We start from the raw sequence: 17,238 nt of genomic DNA, 5'->3' as shown, positions 1-17,238 counted from the left end.
TCACACTTTTGGGGAAATTAAAAAGGAAGAAGCAGCTGTTGATACAGGAGCACAGAGCCAGACAGAAGTCAGATAGGAGACAGAAACACTCTCGGGCCAGAATGAACTCGGCCCCTGCCTAGGTGCACCCCCACTTGGGGCTAAGGCCCCTTGCGTGGTTGTCCTCCCACATGGCTCCCACGCGGTCTCCCAGCCCACCACATTCCTCCGGCCCACACACCTCCGACCAACCTCCACACCCCAAGAGGCCAAGGCCGGGTCTGTTTCTATCCCTCAGGCCTCGGCCCTTGGGTCTCAGTCATCCCCACGCCCCGCCCCATGCTGTCTCTCCTCCCAGGGATTCAGGCCGAGCTTTGAAAGGGTCACTTCAAAGAGGACCTGCCTTCCGAGGGCCTAGCCAGACCCAGGGCCAGCTCCTCGGCCAGATTCCCAGCGGTTGGGGACAAAGGCCCCACTGTTCCCCGACCCCCGGACGCCCCCAAATGCACTGGGCATAAGAAGTCTTTCTTTCCCCAGTTCCGCTCCTTACGGGCCCGGGCTCCTTGCCACCGGGAGTAGCCCTGGCTCCTCCTCCAGGAGAAGCTGGGGGGTTGGCGGGACAGGGAATTACTAGTTTCCCCACTGCCACCACCATACACCCAAACCCCTTGGGCACCCAGGATGATGACAAAATCCAGCCAGGCGCGGTGGCTCACGCTTGTAATCCCAGCACTTCGGGAGGCCAAGGCAAGTGGATCACCTGAGGTCAGGAGTTCGAGACCAGCCTGGCCAACATGCCAGCCAACATGCCGAAACCTTGTCTCTAAAAAAATAAAAAAAATTAGCCAGGTGTAGTGGCACACCTGTAATCCCAGCAGCCCAGGAGACTGAGGCACGAGGATGATGACGCAACCCCGGGGCCAACCTCAGGACCAGTGGCCCAGGCTCCTCTCTGTCCCTCGGCCACCAAGCCCTTCCTGGGCCTAGAATACAATCCCACATTTTCCCACCTATCAGAACCATACCCACCCTTGCAGGCCTCCTCCAGGCAGCCTCTCAGGACTACCTATCCTCTGGGGAGCCTCACAGTCCAAACCATAGCAGCCAACCCCTGATGTTCCCAGAGGCTGGGGACATCTCTGCCTGCTCTCCTCAATGCCCCACAGTAGGAAGTAGGATTCACCTGCTCCTCTAATTTCCTATCATATAGTGCTGATCCCAAGGCAGGGCCCTTAAAGTTTCCTGTGCCAAGCCTTTGCTGAATTCTCTCTAGTGCACATCATTCTCCAGCCTGTGCTTGCCCAGACCTCACTGCACCTCCAGTGATGGGGGCCTCATTACCTCCAGAGGCAGGTCACTTTCTCTTTAGATTGCTCTGACCATAAAGGTCAGTACTTTTTACTGAGGCAAAAGTGCATTGTTCTCATTTCTATCCATTGATTTTTTTTAATAATAGTTGCTACCAATAATTGAGATTACTAAATCTCAGCCACTTTACCAATACTACCTCATTTAGCCCTCTCTGTAATTTTGAGGGATTATTTCAGGGATAAGAAAACCAGCCAGGTGTGGTGGCTCACACCTGTAATCCCCGCACTTTGGGAGGCCAAAGTGGGAGGATCACTTGAGTCCAGGAATTTTGAGACCAGCCTGGGCAACATGGCAAAACCCTGTCTCTATAAAAAATACAAAATGGAAAAATTAGCTGGGCATGGTGGCATGCACCTGTAGTCTCAACTACTCAGGAGGCTGAGGAGGGAGGCTCACTTGATCCCAGGAGTTCAAGGCTGCAGTGTACCAAGCTCACACCACTGCACTTCAGCCTGAGCAACAGAACAAGACCCTGCCTCAAAAGAATAAAAGAAAGCCGAGGCTAAAACAATGAAGTAACTTGTCCAAGGGCACACAGTGAACAAGGAGTACATCTAAAATTTGGACCTCAGCAGGCTGAAGGCAGGCAGAGCTTTTTTGTTTCGTTTGGTTTGGTTTTTTGAGACAGGGTCTCATTATGTTGCCCAGGCTGGAGTGCAGTGGTGCAATCACAGCTCACTGCAGACTCGAACCCCCCAGCTCAAGTGATTTTCCCACTTCCACCACCCGAGTAGCTGGGACTACATGCCCAGCTAATTTTTTTTTTTTTTAAGACTACATTTTGCTCTTGTCACTCAGACTAGAATGCAATGGCGTGATCTTGGCTCATTGCAATCTCCCTCTCCCAGGTTCAAGCGATTCTCCTGCCTCAGGCTCCCAAGTAGCTGGGACTACAGGTGTGTGTCACTTCACCCAGCTAATTTTGTAATTTTAGTAGGGACAGTGTTTCACCATGTTGGCCAGGCTGGTCTCAAACTCCTGACCTCAGGTGATCCACCCGCCTTGGCCTCCCAAAGTGCTGGGATTACAGGTGTCAGCCACTGCTCCTGGCCCCAGCTAATTTTTAAAATTTTTCTGTAGGTATTGGGTCTCCTTGTGTCACCCAGGCTGGTCTCAAACTCCTGAGTCCAAGTGATCCTCCTACCTTGGCCTCCCAAAGTGCTGGGATTACAGGTGTGAGCCACTGTACCCGGCCTGTGTCAGTTTCTTAATCTGTCAAGTGGGGTGATGGTAATATACCAACATAGTGGTAAGCACTATGGAAGAAGTTGCTATTATCATTTTTCTCGGCCTCAAATAACTCCTACCTGGTAGGGTAGACGGATATGAGATGGAACATCACAGTGTCAGGGGTAGAGCTGGGCATGGGGCGCCCTGGGGGGCCACAGGCGGGGCTGTTCCCTGGTTTGTACTTCACAAACATTTATGGAGAACTGCTCTGTGCCAGGCTCTGTGCTGGCCACTGGGGACACAGAGATGAACAGGATACATTGTCCACTCATCCCTGCAGCTCCCTGCCCTCCCCTCTCCCTCTTGGAGCCCAGTCCATGAACCCTGCACTGAGGGGGGCCACGAAGGACAGAACCAACCACAGAGGGAAAGGCATGGCCTGGGAGCTGGGAGTCAGAAGATGGGTCCTTGTCTGCCGAGGCTGAGGGACCTTGGGCACTCCCCAGTCTGTTTCCCCACTGTAGCGTAACAGAGTTGGACACGATCACCCCTTTGGTCCTCACCCACTCTGACAGGTGGTAAATACACCCCAACCCAAAAGGGCTTTAAAATCTCCCCAAAGTCCAGCCCCAAGGCCATCTCAGCCTGATGTCCCACTGAGGCAATGGGGGAGGAGACACCCACCTGGCACAGATTGGTACTGCCCTGCTGACAAACTGGCACAATTTCACAAGAAACAGGGGGGCCTGGATCTGAAGGCGGGTTGTTTGAAGCGGGTGGAGGGTGCTAGGGGAAAGGCAGCACCAGCTCCCACAGGCCCTATTCATGTCTCTCTCCCGAGATGGTGAGAGCAGGATCATTAAAACCAGGCTTTGTCCAAATCCCTGACCAAGCCAATATCTTACCTTTGAACCCCTGCAGCCAACAGAGCAGGGCTTCATGCCCCTTTGGAAGGAAAACACCAGTGAACCGAGCCCTGGCCCAGTGCTATGGGCTAGCATGGGGCAGGGTGGGAAAGATTGGAGGAGTAAAGAAATAGAACAAAAGACAAGCAACTAAGCTGCAATCCAGCCAGAAGCTGACCTTGATCTTGGGCTGTGTAGAAAATGGACACGGATTTGGGGTGGGAGTGACAGCGGGACATAGCAGGTCCTGAGAAGCCAGATAGTGAGGGTGAGAGCCAGACTCTAGAGCCAGACTGCCACATTCCTACCCTGGCTCCACAGTGCACTGGGGGTGTGATTTGGGCTGCAATATTGGCTATGCCTCAGTGTCCTCAACTGTAAAATGGGGATAATAATGGTATCTACCTCTTAGTGGTATTGTGAGGATCAAATGAGGTAGTTTTTATAAATACTGGCCAGGAGTTTTTGCTGTCTGTGTATTAACTATGAGCTATACTGTGAAAGCAACTCCCCTTTCTTAAAAACACATTTTTTGTTTCCAGGCACCAGTGCTCATTTGAATATATTTGCTGGAATATTTGATATCTCCAATGACCATCTCCAGGTTTCTACATTGGAATCCAACTTCACAAGAATCCACTTGACCCACTATACTGGAGGAAACTTCCCTGCATGGCTAGCCTGGGATGCTGTGGGTCACAAGCCCCTCCCTAGAAGTTCTCCTGAGTATCTAACTGCAGTCCCTCACACTGTAACTTCTTCCATGCTGCTGCTTTGTAGTCTCTCTTTTAACCTTACACATCAAGAAGTCCTTCTGAGTATCCCTGCAATGTAGGATGAAGCAATCCACTACCCACTCCTGCACTGCTCTGCTCAGAACCAGCACCCTCCCTCACCCCCACTCCCATCCATGCCAAGAATGCTGCACTTCTTCCCCGTGAGCCAGGGTCAGCCCGAGGAGAGGGGCACAAGCACAGGGCCTCTTCCCCCCACCCAGTCCTTCTCTGCTTGGGCTGGGATCCACACAAGCCTGACCTATTCCCGTAGTCAGACACCTTCCTAACAGCTTTCCTCCCCAAGCTTCATCTTGTGCCCTGACTACCCTCAAGTGTCCTGGGTTCTTGCCTGGGCACTGTCACTACATAGGCTCAGACCCTCTCTGTGAAATGGGACACCAACACCTACCCTGCCCACTCCCATTCTTCCTGTTTATTATTATTGAGGCCTTTGAATCCAGCACTGAATGTAGAGGATTTACTGCTCCCATGGTTCCCAAGAAGAGGTCAGGTCCTCAGATGCAGGATCTTGGAATTCCCAGCCACCTTGGGGTGGACCCAACCACACTGTGGGCAAGTGGAAGAAGCCGCTGGGGCCGGGGGCCTTTGGGCTGCCTTTGGAGGCGAAATGACTGGTTATATAATCGAGATTCAAATCGCATGCCAAGGAGCACATGGCAGTGAGAGCTGTCACTTTGGGGAATGGGGTCTGTTGCCCTGGCAGAGGGGAGAACCACATGGGATCAAAAGCCACTCACCCCCAGCTAGGCCGCAGGGTTGGGGTGGAGACAGAGAGGGGTGCAGGGGATAGAGATGAAGTATGTGTTGCTGGTGGGGGATTGAATCCAAGGGACTCATGCTTGGATTCATGACCTCCACCCCCACCCCCCGTCCATCCTGAATTTCAAGTTCATAATTAGGAAACACACTTTGGCTGAAGGGAGTCGGGGAGAGATGCAGATTGAGGGAGAACTGAACACACATCCAGCAACCAAGGAACACACCAGTCTCCAAAAGAGTTGCAAGCACCAGATCCCACCTTCAACACTGCCGGGAAAGCTGGGGAGGAGGGTCCCCAAGTCTTTCAGCCCTGTCTAAAGAGGAACAGGCCTCAGCCCTGGCCTTGACCTCAACCTGGACCCCGGGGAATTTCTTTTCCGAGCTCAGGGAAACTGTTGGCCTGACAGTGTTCAACCCTTCAACTTAGGAGCAGGGAGGCCTGCTGGGGGGCTCCTGCAGGGCGGGCAGCCAGGCTCAGAGGTAAGGGAATGGCCCTGATGGGGGGATGGGGCTGGGAGGCCCCTGCTGGCCCCTCCCCAGCCTCAGCAGCTGGCAGATGAAAGAACCCAGGCAGAGCAGCCCAGCGCTGAGTAATGCCCCTGGCACCCCGCGCTCTGACCCACCCACAGCCGGTCGGAGAGGGCAGAGGGGAGGGCAGCCTCGCCGGCAGAGCCCGGGGTCCTGGGCCTGTGTCTAGAACTTCCCCAGGATCCAGGAGGGCGGCGGAACCGCGCCTGGCAACCCGTCCCGCAGTCCGACCCGGCAGGGGGCGAGTGTGGCGCGGGGAGGGGGTGTCCGGACGCCTTAGTGGAGGACGTCCCGCTCCGGGAACCCCCTCCCCCACCCCCTCTCCCTCCAGCTGTGCCGGGGCCTCGCCAACGGAAAACGAAAACTCGGGCAGAGGAAACGGCGGCAGGCGCCCCGCCTGAAAAACCCGAACAAAAGCCGCGGGCCTCCCGCCCCCGCTGCCCAGCCGCTGGGGGCCTGGCACCGCCACCTGGGTCTGTGCCCCCTGTCCTGACAGCCCCGTGCCCGTCCCGACCCCTTGCCTGCTTCCGTCCTTCCCACCCCTCTACCCCGGACAGCTCTTGCTCGGGCCCCCTCCCGGGCCTGCCACCAGCTGAATCTCCCCGCAGCGGTGCCCGCGGTGCCCGCGCCCACCGTGCGCCCCAGGCTGTGCAGGGCGAGCGGGGTCGCAGCGACCCTGGCTTGGCAGCCCGCTCCCCAGCAGCTACCGGCCCCGCCCACTTCCCTGGCCCAGCACCCTCACCTGTGGGGGCCGGGGCTCCGGGCGGGGCGGGATCCCGACCAGGCAGAAGGCGACTCCATTCATCGGGTGGCAGCGGCGGCTCTGCGGCCGGGGCACGGCTGGGGGCGCCGGCAGGGACCCGGGAGGGGCGGGGCCGGGGGCGGGGCCGAGCGCGGTGTGGGGGGGCCCCCCCCGGGGTCCGCCCCCTCGCCCCTCCCCCTTCCCACCACCCACCCCGCGCTCCCTTCTGGGTGCCCCGGCGGCCTCGCTCAAGGGCCACAGACCTGCAACCGGGCTGAGGCAGAGGCGAGCGCTGCCTGAGAGCTGGACGTCAGAGCCCAGCCTGGCGAAGAGAGGCGGTCTCCAGGAGACGCTTGCCCGGCCTCTAAGGGACCGGCCCAGATAGAGGGCCATCCAGGCCCAGGAAAGAGGACAAGGGCACCGAACCCAGAACTAGCACGGGGATAGGGAGGGAGGGAGAGGGAAGCAAAGAGAAACAGCCAGCCAGAGATGGTCAGAAACAGAGATCCAGAGACCCAGAAAGCATGAGAAAGGCAGAGACAAGATAGAGACAGCGCAGAGAGAGGCAGAGAAAGTCAGAAACAAAGATGAGGAGACCCAGGATCAGAAAGGGGGGAAGACAGAAAAAGGCTTAGAGGCCCCCTTCCCTTTAGAGACCCCTAGACATTGAGACACAAGGGAAGATTTAGTGCAGGGGGTGGGGAGACGGGGTGCCCCTCAGTGTAGGGTAAGCCCCTCCCAGCCAGAGTCTCAGCCCAGGATCCCAGAGAGGAGGGGGAGTCGAGCATAGAAGAGAGGCTGGCAGGTGCCCCAGCCCTTCGGACCCCCACCCAGCCAGTCCTGGGGCTCAGGCCATGGGGCCAGCCCACAGTCCTGCTCTGCAGTGAACAGCAGTGACAGCAGAGGCTCCCAATCACCAGCACCCCACAGCCACCCTTCCTGGCTTCACTCTGAGCTGGGCCTAAAGAGATGCCCTGGTCCTGAGCCAGCTTCTTTCCTTGTCCCCCAGAAGGACCCCCTCCAGCCCATCCCCTGACAGTCCAGGGAGGGACAGTCCTTCTGTCTTTCTTTTCCTTTTTTTTTTTTCGGCAGGGTCTCACTCTGTCACCCATGCTGGAGTACAGTGGCACAATCTAGGCTCACTGAAACCTCTGCCCCCAGGTTCAAGTGATCCTCCCACCTCAGCCTCCCCAGGTAGCTGGGACTACAGGCCCATGCCACACCGCCCACCTAACTTTTGTACTTTGGTAGAGATGAGGTTTCACCAGGATGGCCAGGCTGGTCTCAAACTCCTGACCTCAAGTGATATTCGCCTGCCTCAGCCTCCCAAAGTGCTGGGATTATAGGCGTGAGCCACCATGCCTGGCCTTGTCCTTCATTATTAGAAAATAGCTAGAAAATTCTTTCTACTATCTAACTCCCATTCTTCCTGCTTCTTACTTCCTCCAGCTTATGCTTACCTCTTTCCCATGACTTTTTCAGTTTAAGGGGCTTCCATATTCCTTTTCCCAGATTATGTAGAAAAGAAGGCGGAGGATAAAATAGGACTTGGAGAGAGGAGGCAGTGAAAGCGGGAAGGCCAGCTCTGCCTGCTGGAGTCACCACCTTCCTTGGGCAAGGAGACCCCTGAGAGCCGAGCAGCCCCAAGACCTCCACCCCTTTAACCTTGATCAGGGTTGGGAACTCAGGTCTTAGAGGGGTTGGGGTGCCCCAGACAACAATTAGGCCATCCCTACTCCTGTGAACCTGAGGAATGAGATACTGACTGGGGTTTAGCTCATATGCTTTATTTAATGTATTTTAAATCCCCTGGCAGTCAAGAGAAAGGGATTCTGTTTCATAATAATGGAGGGGCAGTTAAATGACTCCTCTCCCTTCCTCATCCCTTTTTATCAAGGTCATGTGCAGCCAGAATTAGCCTCCACTTCTGGAAAGTCCTTCCTGCTGTCTAACTGTAATCTGTCATACTGCCTGGATTTTTTTTTTTTTTTTTTTTTTGAGATGGAGTTTCACTCTTTTTGCCCAGGCTGGAGTGCAATGGTGCCATCTTGGCTCACTGCAACCTCTGCTTCCCAGATTCAAGCTATTCTTCTGCCTCAGCCTCCCAAGTAGCTGGGATTACAGGCGCCTACCACCACACCTGGCTAATTTTTTAATTTTTTGTATTTTTAGTAGAGACAGGGTTTCATCATGTTGGCCAGGATGGTCTCGATCTCTTGACCTCGTAATCCACCCTCCTCGGCCTCCTAAAGTGCTGGGATTACAGGCATGAGCCACCGCGCCTGGCCTACTGCTTGGATTTTCTTGCTTAACTTTCCACCAGGTCCCTGTTCCTGTCTCTTTCTGCCCTGTAGCTCCAGTGGTCCAATGCTTGTTGCCACCTTGGCTCAGAGGTCCTTTCCTCCCAGGATAAAGGGTTGTCTCTGTGAGGGAGAAAGGTTGGCATCTGAAATCAGACTGAACTGAGGCCATGGGGGAGGAGGGAGGGTGGTGGCCGTGGGGTGCCCCTGGCTCACTTTTTCCAGAGCCTGATGCCCTCAGACCCCGCAGGAGGGGGTGAGAGGAAATGAGCTCACACTGACCGGCAGGCGAATTCCTCCCTCCACAATGCACTGCACAGCCTCCCCCACCCGCTCCCACTTCCCAGAAAGTGCGGCTCTCTCCCCACCCTGCCGCCCTTCCCACCTCTTCCTGCACCTTGACCTGCACCCCCACCCTGTCCCAGCCCACCTCATCTATCTTCTTTAGCTGCTCTTCCTCCTCACCTTCCTCTCCATCCGGGCTCCCCTTCCTCTCTCGACACTCTGGGTCTCACTCCATGCATCCTGCCATCCGCCCCAGCACCCACTGTATTCCTGTACCCTATTTTTTTGGGGTTTGGAGCCATAGAGCCCAACATGGGGAGAGTCTCCCTGGTTGAGGACCCTCCTCATACTCCCCCTCTTTCCAAACTCCTTCCCCAGCCCAATCACCATCCTTCATTCACAAGGTCTACTATGTGAGGGGGTAGAGGAGAGGAGGGGGTGGGGTAGGTTGGCCCTGGGAATACAGAGGTGAGGCCTAGATCCTTCCCTTGAGGGGCCTGGGTCTCCTCCAGTTGTGACTCTATAAAGAACTCCCAGCACAGGAGCACATTCGGCTGGAGAAGCAGAGGAGGCTTCCCCAGGAGGTGCCTTGAGCTTCTTGGGCTTCCTGGATGGGGCAGGGGAGAGTGGGAATAGGGAAAAAGGCACTCCAGGGAGAGTGATGCTCAGGGCGAACCAGGGAGGCAGGAGAGAGAGCAGGCTCCGGCATCGGCATCGTGGCTGGAGCCAAGTGGAGGGTGCCTATGGGCAGGAAGCATGGAGGGATGAGGAAGGAAACACAGGCGGGGGTGTGACGCTGGAGGGGCTGCCCAGAGGCGCTTCCGTGCTAGCCTGGTTTGGGGCAGGGAGCTGAAGCAGCGATGTGCCATGGCCACCGTGGCACATAACGGGAACAGGAATGGAGGGCGGCAAGCAAAGTGATTCTAGGAGAAAGGTACCAAAGCAAGGGGCAGGGGCAACAAACAACAGAGGCTCTGGGATTTGGTGAGCAGGAGGAAGGAAATGGAAGAGTGCAGGGCAAGGCCAAGGCCTGGAATATCAGGTTGTCTAGGGTGTTCACAGAGAGAGGGGACAAGCCAGGCACGAAGTCCTTTGTATGTGAGATCCCAGTTAAGCCTCACAAAGGCCTGTGAAATAGATCTCAATCCTCATTCTATGGATAAGGAAAATGAGGCCCAGAGAACTCAAGTATCTTACCCAAGGCCACACAGGATTTGAACCCAGGCATTTGGGCTCCAGGGTCTATACACTTAACCCGCAGGCTGTGAGGCTGGTGGAATGGTGACAGGCTGCTTAAACCGTGGGTCCATCTTCTGAAAGAGAGGCTTGAGCTAGAGACTCTGGTAGTCCCTGAGACCAGGGGTGTGGTTCAGATTCTCCAGGGAGAGTGAAGAGTGAGAGGAACCCTGGCTTGGGGGTAGGCAGAGAAGGAGGAGGCAACAAGGACTGGGAGGAAGCAGGCAGCCAGAGAAGGTGGCACTGTGTGGGGCAGAGACAACAGCCTCGGGGGCCAGTGGGTGTGGGGGTCAGACTGTGCAGGGAGGAGGGGCCCCAGGGAGGAGGGAGTCGAATCTGCCCACTGAGCATTAACAGGAAGGGACAGGCGACAGGCAGGCAGCACAGGTGGGTGTGGACAAGGCAGGTGTCTGTTTGGGTGGGGAAGACTTCAGCAGGCTGTTGGGTTGAGGAGCAGGTGCCAAGGAGAGACAGCCGGAGGGGACGCAAGGAGGGCGTGATGAGCGGACTGGAGGAAAAGTATCTGGAGGGTGGGGCTCCAGAGGAGGAACCCAGGTTTATGATGTCCTCAAAGGAGCCCTGAATCAAGAATCTGAAGACCTGGGTTCAAATTCGTGCTGCACCCTCCCTGCGCCCCAGCCCCCAGTAGCTGTATGACTTTTGAGAACAAGTATATTCTCAGAACCTCAGTTTCACCCTCTGTAAGATGAAAACGATAAGGCCTTCTCGGCCTGCCTCTGATTTGAGGCTCACATTTGACAAAGAATCTGAAAAACTCTGTGAGCTGAAAAGGAAAAACCATAATGTATGAAAGGTGGGTTATGGGGCACGGGCACCTACACCTGGCCCCAGCTCAGGCCCTTCCACCAAAGGAGAAAGAGCATCCCCTGGTGGAGAAGGATGGCAGGGCAGGACTAAAGGGGACAGCGGTTCTTGCACTTTTATGGCTTCAGCCCCCAGGTCCTCTACTTGTCCCCCACAGGCAACACCCCCACCACAGTTTGTATCTCCAAAGCGAGAGGGGCCCCATTTAATCAAGTCAAAAGACATTTATTGGCCAGGCGCGGTGGCTCACATCTGTAATCCCAGCACTCTGGGAGGCTGAGGAGGGCAGATCACTTGAGGTCAGGAGTTCGAGACCAGCCTGGCCAACATGGTGAAATCCCATCTCTACTAAAAATACAAAAACTTAGCCAGGCGTGGTGGTGTGCGCCTGTAATCCCAGCTACTCAGGAGGCTGAGGCAGGAGAATTGCTTGAACTGGGGAGATGGAGGTTACACTGAGCTGCGATCATGCCACTGCACTCTTGCCTGGGCGATAGAATGAGACTCTGTTTCAAAAAAAAAAACAAAAAGCAAAACAAAAAATTAGCCAGGCATGGTGGCACGTGCCTGTAGTCTCAGCTACTTGGGAGGCTGAAGCAGGAGAATCGCTTGAACCCAGGAGTCAGAGGCTGCAGTGAGTCGAGATCATGCCGCGGCACTCCAGCCTGGGTGACAGAGCAGAACATCGTCTCAAAAAAAAAAAAAAATTATTGAGCACCTAGTACATGCAAACTGCTGTGTTGGGTGGTAGGGAGGGAACCGTCCCCATATTCCACGGAGGGCAACAAACACAGCAAAGGGTGCCTGGGATGGTGCTGAGATTGTGGTGCAAGCACAGTGTTGAGCAAAACAAGAAGGAGCCTCCAGTGACTAGGGGAGGAAGAAGGGGTCTTGGGAGGCAGGCAGGGTTTGTCCTAGACCTCAAAGCCCTCTACTAGCAAACGTCAGAGAAAGGAGGGAGAGGGTGGGGCACAGGCGCTGGCCACAGCCCCAGACATCCCATAGAGTGAACCTCACTGACCATATTTAATGATGGAGGGTGGGGCAATGGTCCACTCAAGATGATGCCAGTTCCCACTCATCCCTGGTGTCAGGTCTCCCAGGAATCCTGTGAGAAGAATCCCACCTGAACACCCCTTGGGGAGGGAGGCTGAAGACCCATGGCCAGGCTGGGGCCAAAGAGCTCTGGTAATCTGCCAAGCAGCTGGGGCCTACGCAGAAAACCTCTGGACAGCTGGCTACGGCGGGAGCGAGAGGCTGCATCTTGTCTGAGCTGGCAGCAGGGTAAGCTGGCAGCAGGGTAAGCAAGCCACACCCAGCGAGGCCCCATGTCAGGTCAGGAGGTGGCCGACAGAAAATCCACCCCTGCCACTCTGAACTGGCCATCTTTAGGGAAACTACGTTTGGGAAACCCAGCCCAGCAGGCTTTTCACTGTGTGACACCCTGTCAGGGAAGGCCGGTGGCACGGACCCTGTGTATGAGTGAGTGTGCGCGAGGCTCAAAGATGCCTTACAAAAACCATGCCGTCACTCAGCAGGGGCTTGCAAACACCAAGACGGAGAGGAAAGGAATTAAAATACGTTGAGCACCCACTATGTGCCAAGCTCTTTATAAACATTATTTCATTTAGTCCCCATGACAACACTGTAAGGTGGGTATTATTAGCCCCGCTATGTAAATGAGGAAACAGACACAGAGAGGCTAAGTAGCTTGTCCAAGATCTCCCAGCTAGGATTCAGGATTCTAGCCGAAGTCTGATGTTGCTCTTTCTATCGAATGATCCCTCTGGGAGGGGTCAGGCCAGGGAGTTCATTCCAGCTCAGGATGCTAAATTCTACAGTTCTACATAGGGCTTTTCAATTCTTCCTGCTTCTGTTCCAGGCTCCCAGCCCCTGCCCAGCCCCACCTGGTCCCCACACATCACTGCACATGGGACCCATCCTCCTCCCTGTCTCCATTTTGCCCTTCTGGAAGGGAAGAAGGAGAGGAGCAAAGAGGAAAGAAGGGGAACATAGAGGAAGGGAAGAGAGAGGAAGCAAAGGGGAAGGGATTAGAGAGGAGGCTCCCACCTCCCCGTCGAAGCTCTGGAAATCCCCCTGCAGCTGCTCCCCTCTCCTCTGTCTGGCCCTGAGCCAGCCCTGGGTGGGAGTGTTGGGAGTCAGATGAGGAGAAAAGAGGGGCGGGACTGACCACAGTGGGGCAAGCCCCTCAGTCCTGGCACTCACCCCACCCAGCAGTTCCAGCCCCCGTGAGAGATTCCAGGCATGCTCCCCTTTAAGGAAGCCCTCCATGCCAAAATCCACACATACCAAACAGACACATCGGCGGCTCACGCACTATAAAAGGATTCTTTGCTTTACAAGAGGGCTCAGCACATGGGAAACTTAAAATAGGAGCTTCCCCTGGTGCAATGAAAGAAGCTCTGATTTCAGACGCACTCCATACACACCACGCTTCCGGTGCATCCAGAAAGCCGGGCGTTAACCACATCAGCCTAGGCACCTCGGAGAGTGTGCCGATCATCAGAGTCCATGTCTGTGGGGAGGGACCTCACAGTCCAGGGGACAGGCTGAGCTGCTGTGCTTGGCAGAGGTGTCCTAGGACATCCAGAAAGGACCAAGAAGCCACCACTTGGCATAGCTGGCAGAGATTTCACAGCAGCCCAGACAGGATGAATGTCCAAGGCTTCCCAATGATTCTGTAATGGAGCCAAGGGCAGAAGCCCAATGTCCTGACTCCCCTTGATGTTTCTCCTCCCAGGGGAGGGTACAGGGGAGCAGGCTGTGGTCTGTCCTCTGGGAAAGGGGAAGCGGCTGATCCCCAGAACAGTTACGGAGGGCTGATGAAGGCCAATGATGGGCAGATGGGCTACTTGGAGGAACAACTCAGGCTGAGCTGCAGGCCCAGTGAGATGCATTTAGGATTCTCTAGACAGGAAGCAGTAGTGGCCCCTAGCCCTGCCCCTCTTTTAAAAAAAAATCCAGGTGAAATTCACGTAACGTAAAATTAGCCATTTTACAGTGAGCAATTCAGTGGCATTTACTACTCTTCCCTCCCTCCCCGCCCTACCACTATTTTTGTGTTCAGTCAGTAATGACAATAGCAGCCAGGCCTGCTGCTCTGGGGAGCTGCCATTGGCCATTTAAATTAATGCCCAAGATGCCAAACAGGCCTGGAAACTGGACCAGCCACAGCCCCGCCCCAGACTCACACCCAGCCCAGGGAGGATGCCCAGAGCACTTTATGCCTCCCAGTGCCCCTCTCCAACCCCCCAGAACTTAGGGTCACCCCTTCCACGGACTCCACCTCCCCCGACTCCTCACCCTCCACTCCTCCTCACCCCTCTCCTCACCACCATCACAGGCCACCCACAAGCCCTCTGCCAGAGTGATAGGGGGCCTGTGCTCAGCCTGGAGGGGAGGGTCTCAGAGCCAGGGCCCCCAGCCACTGCTTTAGGCAGAACAGCCCCAAAGAACTTGGGCCAGGAAAAGAAGGGAGTTAGGGCGGCTGAGCACTGAAAGGTGTGTCCCAAATAGAAAACCTATCCCGCCTCTCCAGACCCCACCTGAGACCTCACCCCAAGTGGGGGTTGGGAAGGGAGTAAGGCAACCCCTGGAGCAGCCCCCTCGCTCTGCCCCCCATCAGGCTGCTGGCTTCTCTTAGATCAGGGGGCTGCAAGTCAGGATACAGCCCCTTGCTCACTGAAGGGGACTGGTCCAGCCTGTCTGGGATTTGCTGAGCTCCGTGCAGGGAATGAGAACTCTGACCAGAGGGGGTCTTCATCCCCGCCCACTGAGCCCAGCCCACACTCAGTGTATTCTGATGGAGCCTGTGTGAAAGGAAGGCAGCACCCCCCTCCCAAAACCTGGCTGGGGCTGCAGCTCTGCCTTTGGGGTGCATTTGGAGAAAGCCTCTTAGCCCACCCCATCTTTTCACTGACATGAAATGGTGGCAGCAGCTGCTGCAGCTGCTGTGACTGGGAAAGGAGGGGAGCCGGGCTGGAAGAAACCCCTTGATGTGTAGGGGGAGGGGACCGGCGTATCTTGAGGTCCCACCAGGAGGGACTGGGGGTCAACGAACCAGTAGTCATATGGCACAGAGCCCACCCACTCCTTCATTCTGCAGAGTCTGTAGCCTCCTTGGGCCTGGGTTCAGGGAGCAGGGGCTGTACCCTTACCAAGTGGGGATGGGGGTTTCTCCGTGTGGGTGATCTCTTTCTGGAAAGGGGGTGGGGAGAGAGGTGCCCTCTGCACACGCCTTCCTAGGTGTCAGTGATAAGGGAGTACTCGTGTGTGTGTGTGTGTGTGTGTGTGTGTGTGTGAGCTCTGTGTCACATCAGTCCCATCCCTCCCCCAGAGCCCCCGCTCCGCCCGGAGCTCCAATGCCCCAACCCCTCCCTCGGTGGCGGCCCTCGGCGCTCGGCGCGCCCACCTCGCCGGGTCACAACGCCCGCAGCTCTCTCTCCCCTCTCGGCCGCGCACCCACGCCCGGCGCCCGCTCACCTGCTCCATGCTGGGCCCTGCTATGCCGTCCTCGCCGCGCCGGCCCCGGGGGGCGCAGGGGGAGGCGGCCCCTCCATGCGCCCTGTCCGGGCAGCTGCACCCGGCGACCGCCAAGCGCAAGTAGCGGCTGGTGTCAGCGCTCGAGCCCCCTCCCCGCACCGCCCCGCCCCGCCGGCCCCGCCCCTCCGCCCGCCCCCTCCCCTCCTCACCCCGCCCGGCCCGTGGCAGCACCGCGCACCGGCGAGCACACGCGCTCACAGGCAACCGCACAATCGCACGCACGCACGTGGGGGCACACACACTCGAACACACACACAACGCGCACCCGACCCTCGCACATCCCTGGCTAGCCCGCTCCGGCACCCCCTGTTCTGCCCGTCCTGGGGGCGCTGCTAGGGGAGAGGAGACCCCTGCAAGCGAAGCCGCTTTCCTCATTCCTGAGGCTCATCGGAGTCGGAAGGACCCTACTCTCATGCTACAGGGGCCAGAGAGTGGCTTGCCAGCGGTCTCACCGCACCTTGGCAACAGAGCTGATCCCAGTTGATCCCAGACCAACTGCCTCCCAAGCTGACGACCCGCTGCAGGGGGTGACTGACAGCAGGCCAGAGACACCCAGAGCACTGGGACTCAGGGAGACACTGTGCCACCCCCACCTCGAGATCGCTGTGGGAACAGGGAGCTGTTGCCGACGTCCAGCCTATAGTTGAAGGTGTTCTGAGGCCCTTGGCTGGGTGTGGGAAAAAGAGATGGGGATTCCTGTTGCCCACCCAGTGAGCCATGTTCCTGGCACTTGCCAAGCAGGAGGAGGGGGCTGATCTGTTTATCCACTCCCAGAGAAGGGGGATCTGAACCCCCAGATACTACTGGAGAACATAATGTGTGGGCAGCGGGGCCGCCCACTCTGGTGAAGACCAAGGAGATGGCAAAAAGACACCTTCGCTCTCTGACACCCTCCATCAGGTGTGGCTCCTGACCACCCACTGCCCTCTGTTCTGCATCTGACAGGGCAGGACAAACTGAGAGGGGCATCACATAAATGGTCATGTGAGAGGTGGGCACGCTGCCCTGGGCAGGGGTACGCAATCCCCAGTGGACAAGGGTGGAAATTAACCTGCCCCGAGGTGGGCGGTGGGGTGGAGGCATTGGTTTACAGGCACTGGCTGCCCACACCCCCTGGGCCAATGCCCAGGCTGGCATGAAGGTGGCTTCACCACTTCTCACTGAGCCCTGGCCTCTTTGTTAGGCACCAGAGGATGAGGGAGAGGGGGTGGGAAGCTGAGATGGGGAGAGTTAAGATCCTCAGTGGCTCAGACAAAGGGGGCTTTATAGGCTGGGTGTGGGGGGCATGTTGGGGGCAGGGAGACAGGAATGTGGGCCAGGGAGGCCCTGAGCTCCGGGCAGCCCATTTTGGGGCTGAAGTTGGACTCCCCCAGCCTCCCATGCTGTGGCCCTGCAGGGTATTTGCTGCTTTGCTCCTGGGACTACAGCCAGGAGTACCCGGAGCCCTCATCCTTGGCCTCCCCTGGTGGCAATCTGGTGGGCACTGCCCACGCACTCCCAGTTTTCCCTGACCAGCTGGCTGCCGCCTCTCTTGGCTTCCCCGCCAGTGCCCTCCCAGCGGCCTTGTGGCTCCTGTCTGCTACTCAAGGACCCTGCTGGCTGCCTGGGGAGGGAGGGACAGACTTGGGTGGGGTCACAAGGCTATGAGGTCAATGGGGCCCTTTGTCCCTTCAGACGGAGTCTGTCTTGAGCTAAAGAGACTGGAGACAGAGAAGAGTGTCAGCCAGCAAGCCTGCCCCTCGCCCTGAGCCGCACTCTCCCGGGCTGTGGTGTAGCAG

At 56.9% G+C, this 17,238-nt stretch overlaps 1 protein-coding gene across 8 annotated transcripts in view, besides 7 other annotated features; it reads right to left on the bottom strand.

The window, feature by feature from the left end:
* Positions 1 to 15,525, bottom strand: part of ARHGAP23 (Rho GTPase activating protein 23) — a 93,111-nt gene extending 77,586 nt beyond the window's left edge. For 7 of the 8 annotated variants that reach the window (XR_429909.4, NM_001199417.2, XM_006721993.4 and 4 more), the window contains exon 1: positions 6,252 to 6,336. Coding sequence is in view for 7 of the 8 variants with exons in the window: in NM_001199417.2 (NP_001186346.1) it covers positions 6,252 to 6,314 (63 nt within the window). In the remaining variant the exon portion in view is untranslated. Of the gene's footprint in view, positions 1 to 6,251; positions 6,337 to 15,400 lie in introns of those variants that run through there. The other variant, XM_006721991.2, reaches the window with a different exon arrangement.
* Positions 4,355 to 5,262: an enhancer, noted in NCBI's record as "H3K4me1 hESC enhancer chr17:36585781-36586688 (GRCh37/hg19 assembly coordinates)". NCBI's record gives its function as "activates a minimal SCP1, AML or CMV promoter by ChIP-STARR-seq in primed H9 embryonic stem cells {active_cell/tissue: H9 hESC(primed)}" and the evidence as "EXISTENCE:reporter gene assay evidence [ECO:0000049][PMID:30033119]".
* Positions 5,263 to 6,172: an enhancer, noted in NCBI's record as "H3K4me1 hESC enhancer chr17:36584872-36585780 (GRCh37/hg19 assembly coordinates)". NCBI's record gives its function as "activates a minimal SCP1, AML or CMV promoter by ChIP-STARR-seq in naive H9 embryonic stem cells {active_cell/tissue: H9 hESC(naive)}" and the evidence as "EXISTENCE:reporter gene assay evidence [ECO:0000049][PMID:30033119]".
* Positions 10,253 to 10,898: an enhancer, noted in NCBI's record as "H3K4me1 hESC enhancer chr17:36580149-36580794 (GRCh37/hg19 assembly coordinates)". NCBI's record gives its function as "activates a minimal SCP1, AML or CMV promoter by ChIP-STARR-seq in naive H9 embryonic stem cells {active_cell/tissue: H9 hESC(naive)}" and the evidence as "EXISTENCE:reporter gene assay evidence [ECO:0000049][PMID:30033119]".
* Positions 12,485 to 13,413: an enhancer, noted in NCBI's record as "H3K27ac-H3K4me1 hESC enhancer chr17:36577634-36578562 (GRCh37/hg19 assembly coordinates)". NCBI's record gives its function as "activates a minimal SCP1, AML or CMV promoter by ChIP-STARR-seq in naive H9 embryonic stem cells {active_cell/tissue: H9 hESC(naive)}" and the evidence as "EXISTENCE:reporter gene assay evidence [ECO:0000049][PMID:30033119]".
* Positions 14,343 to 15,267: an enhancer, noted in NCBI's record as "H3K4me1 hESC enhancer chr17:36575776-36576704 (GRCh37/hg19 assembly coordinates)". NCBI's record gives its function as "activates a minimal SCP1, AML or CMV promoter by ChIP-STARR-seq in primed H9 embryonic stem cells {active_cell/tissue: H9 hESC(primed)}" and the evidence as "EXISTENCE:reporter gene assay evidence [ECO:0000049][PMID:30033119]".
* Positions 15,771 to 16,320: an enhancer, noted in NCBI's record as "H3K4me1 hESC enhancer chr17:36574723-36575272 (GRCh37/hg19 assembly coordinates)". NCBI's record gives its function as "activates a minimal SCP1, AML or CMV promoter by ChIP-STARR-seq in naive H9 embryonic stem cells {active_cell/tissue: H9 hESC(naive)}" and the evidence as "EXISTENCE:reporter gene assay evidence [ECO:0000049][PMID:30033119]".
* Positions 16,321 to 16,870: an enhancer, noted in NCBI's record as "H3K4me1 hESC enhancer chr17:36574173-36574722 (GRCh37/hg19 assembly coordinates)". NCBI's record gives its function as "activates a minimal SCP1, AML or CMV promoter by ChIP-STARR-seq in naive H9 embryonic stem cells {active_cell/tissue: H9 hESC(naive)}" and the evidence as "EXISTENCE:reporter gene assay evidence [ECO:0000049][PMID:30033119]".

Source organism: Homo sapiens, chromosome 17 (assembly GCF_000001405.40).
Source record: "Homo sapiens chromosome 17, GRCh38.p14 Primary Assembly".
NCBI classification, from domain to species: Eukaryota; Metazoa; Chordata; class Mammalia; order Primates; family Hominidae; genus Homo; species Homo sapiens.
This window is presented reverse-complemented; position numbering and strand designations above follow the sequence as displayed.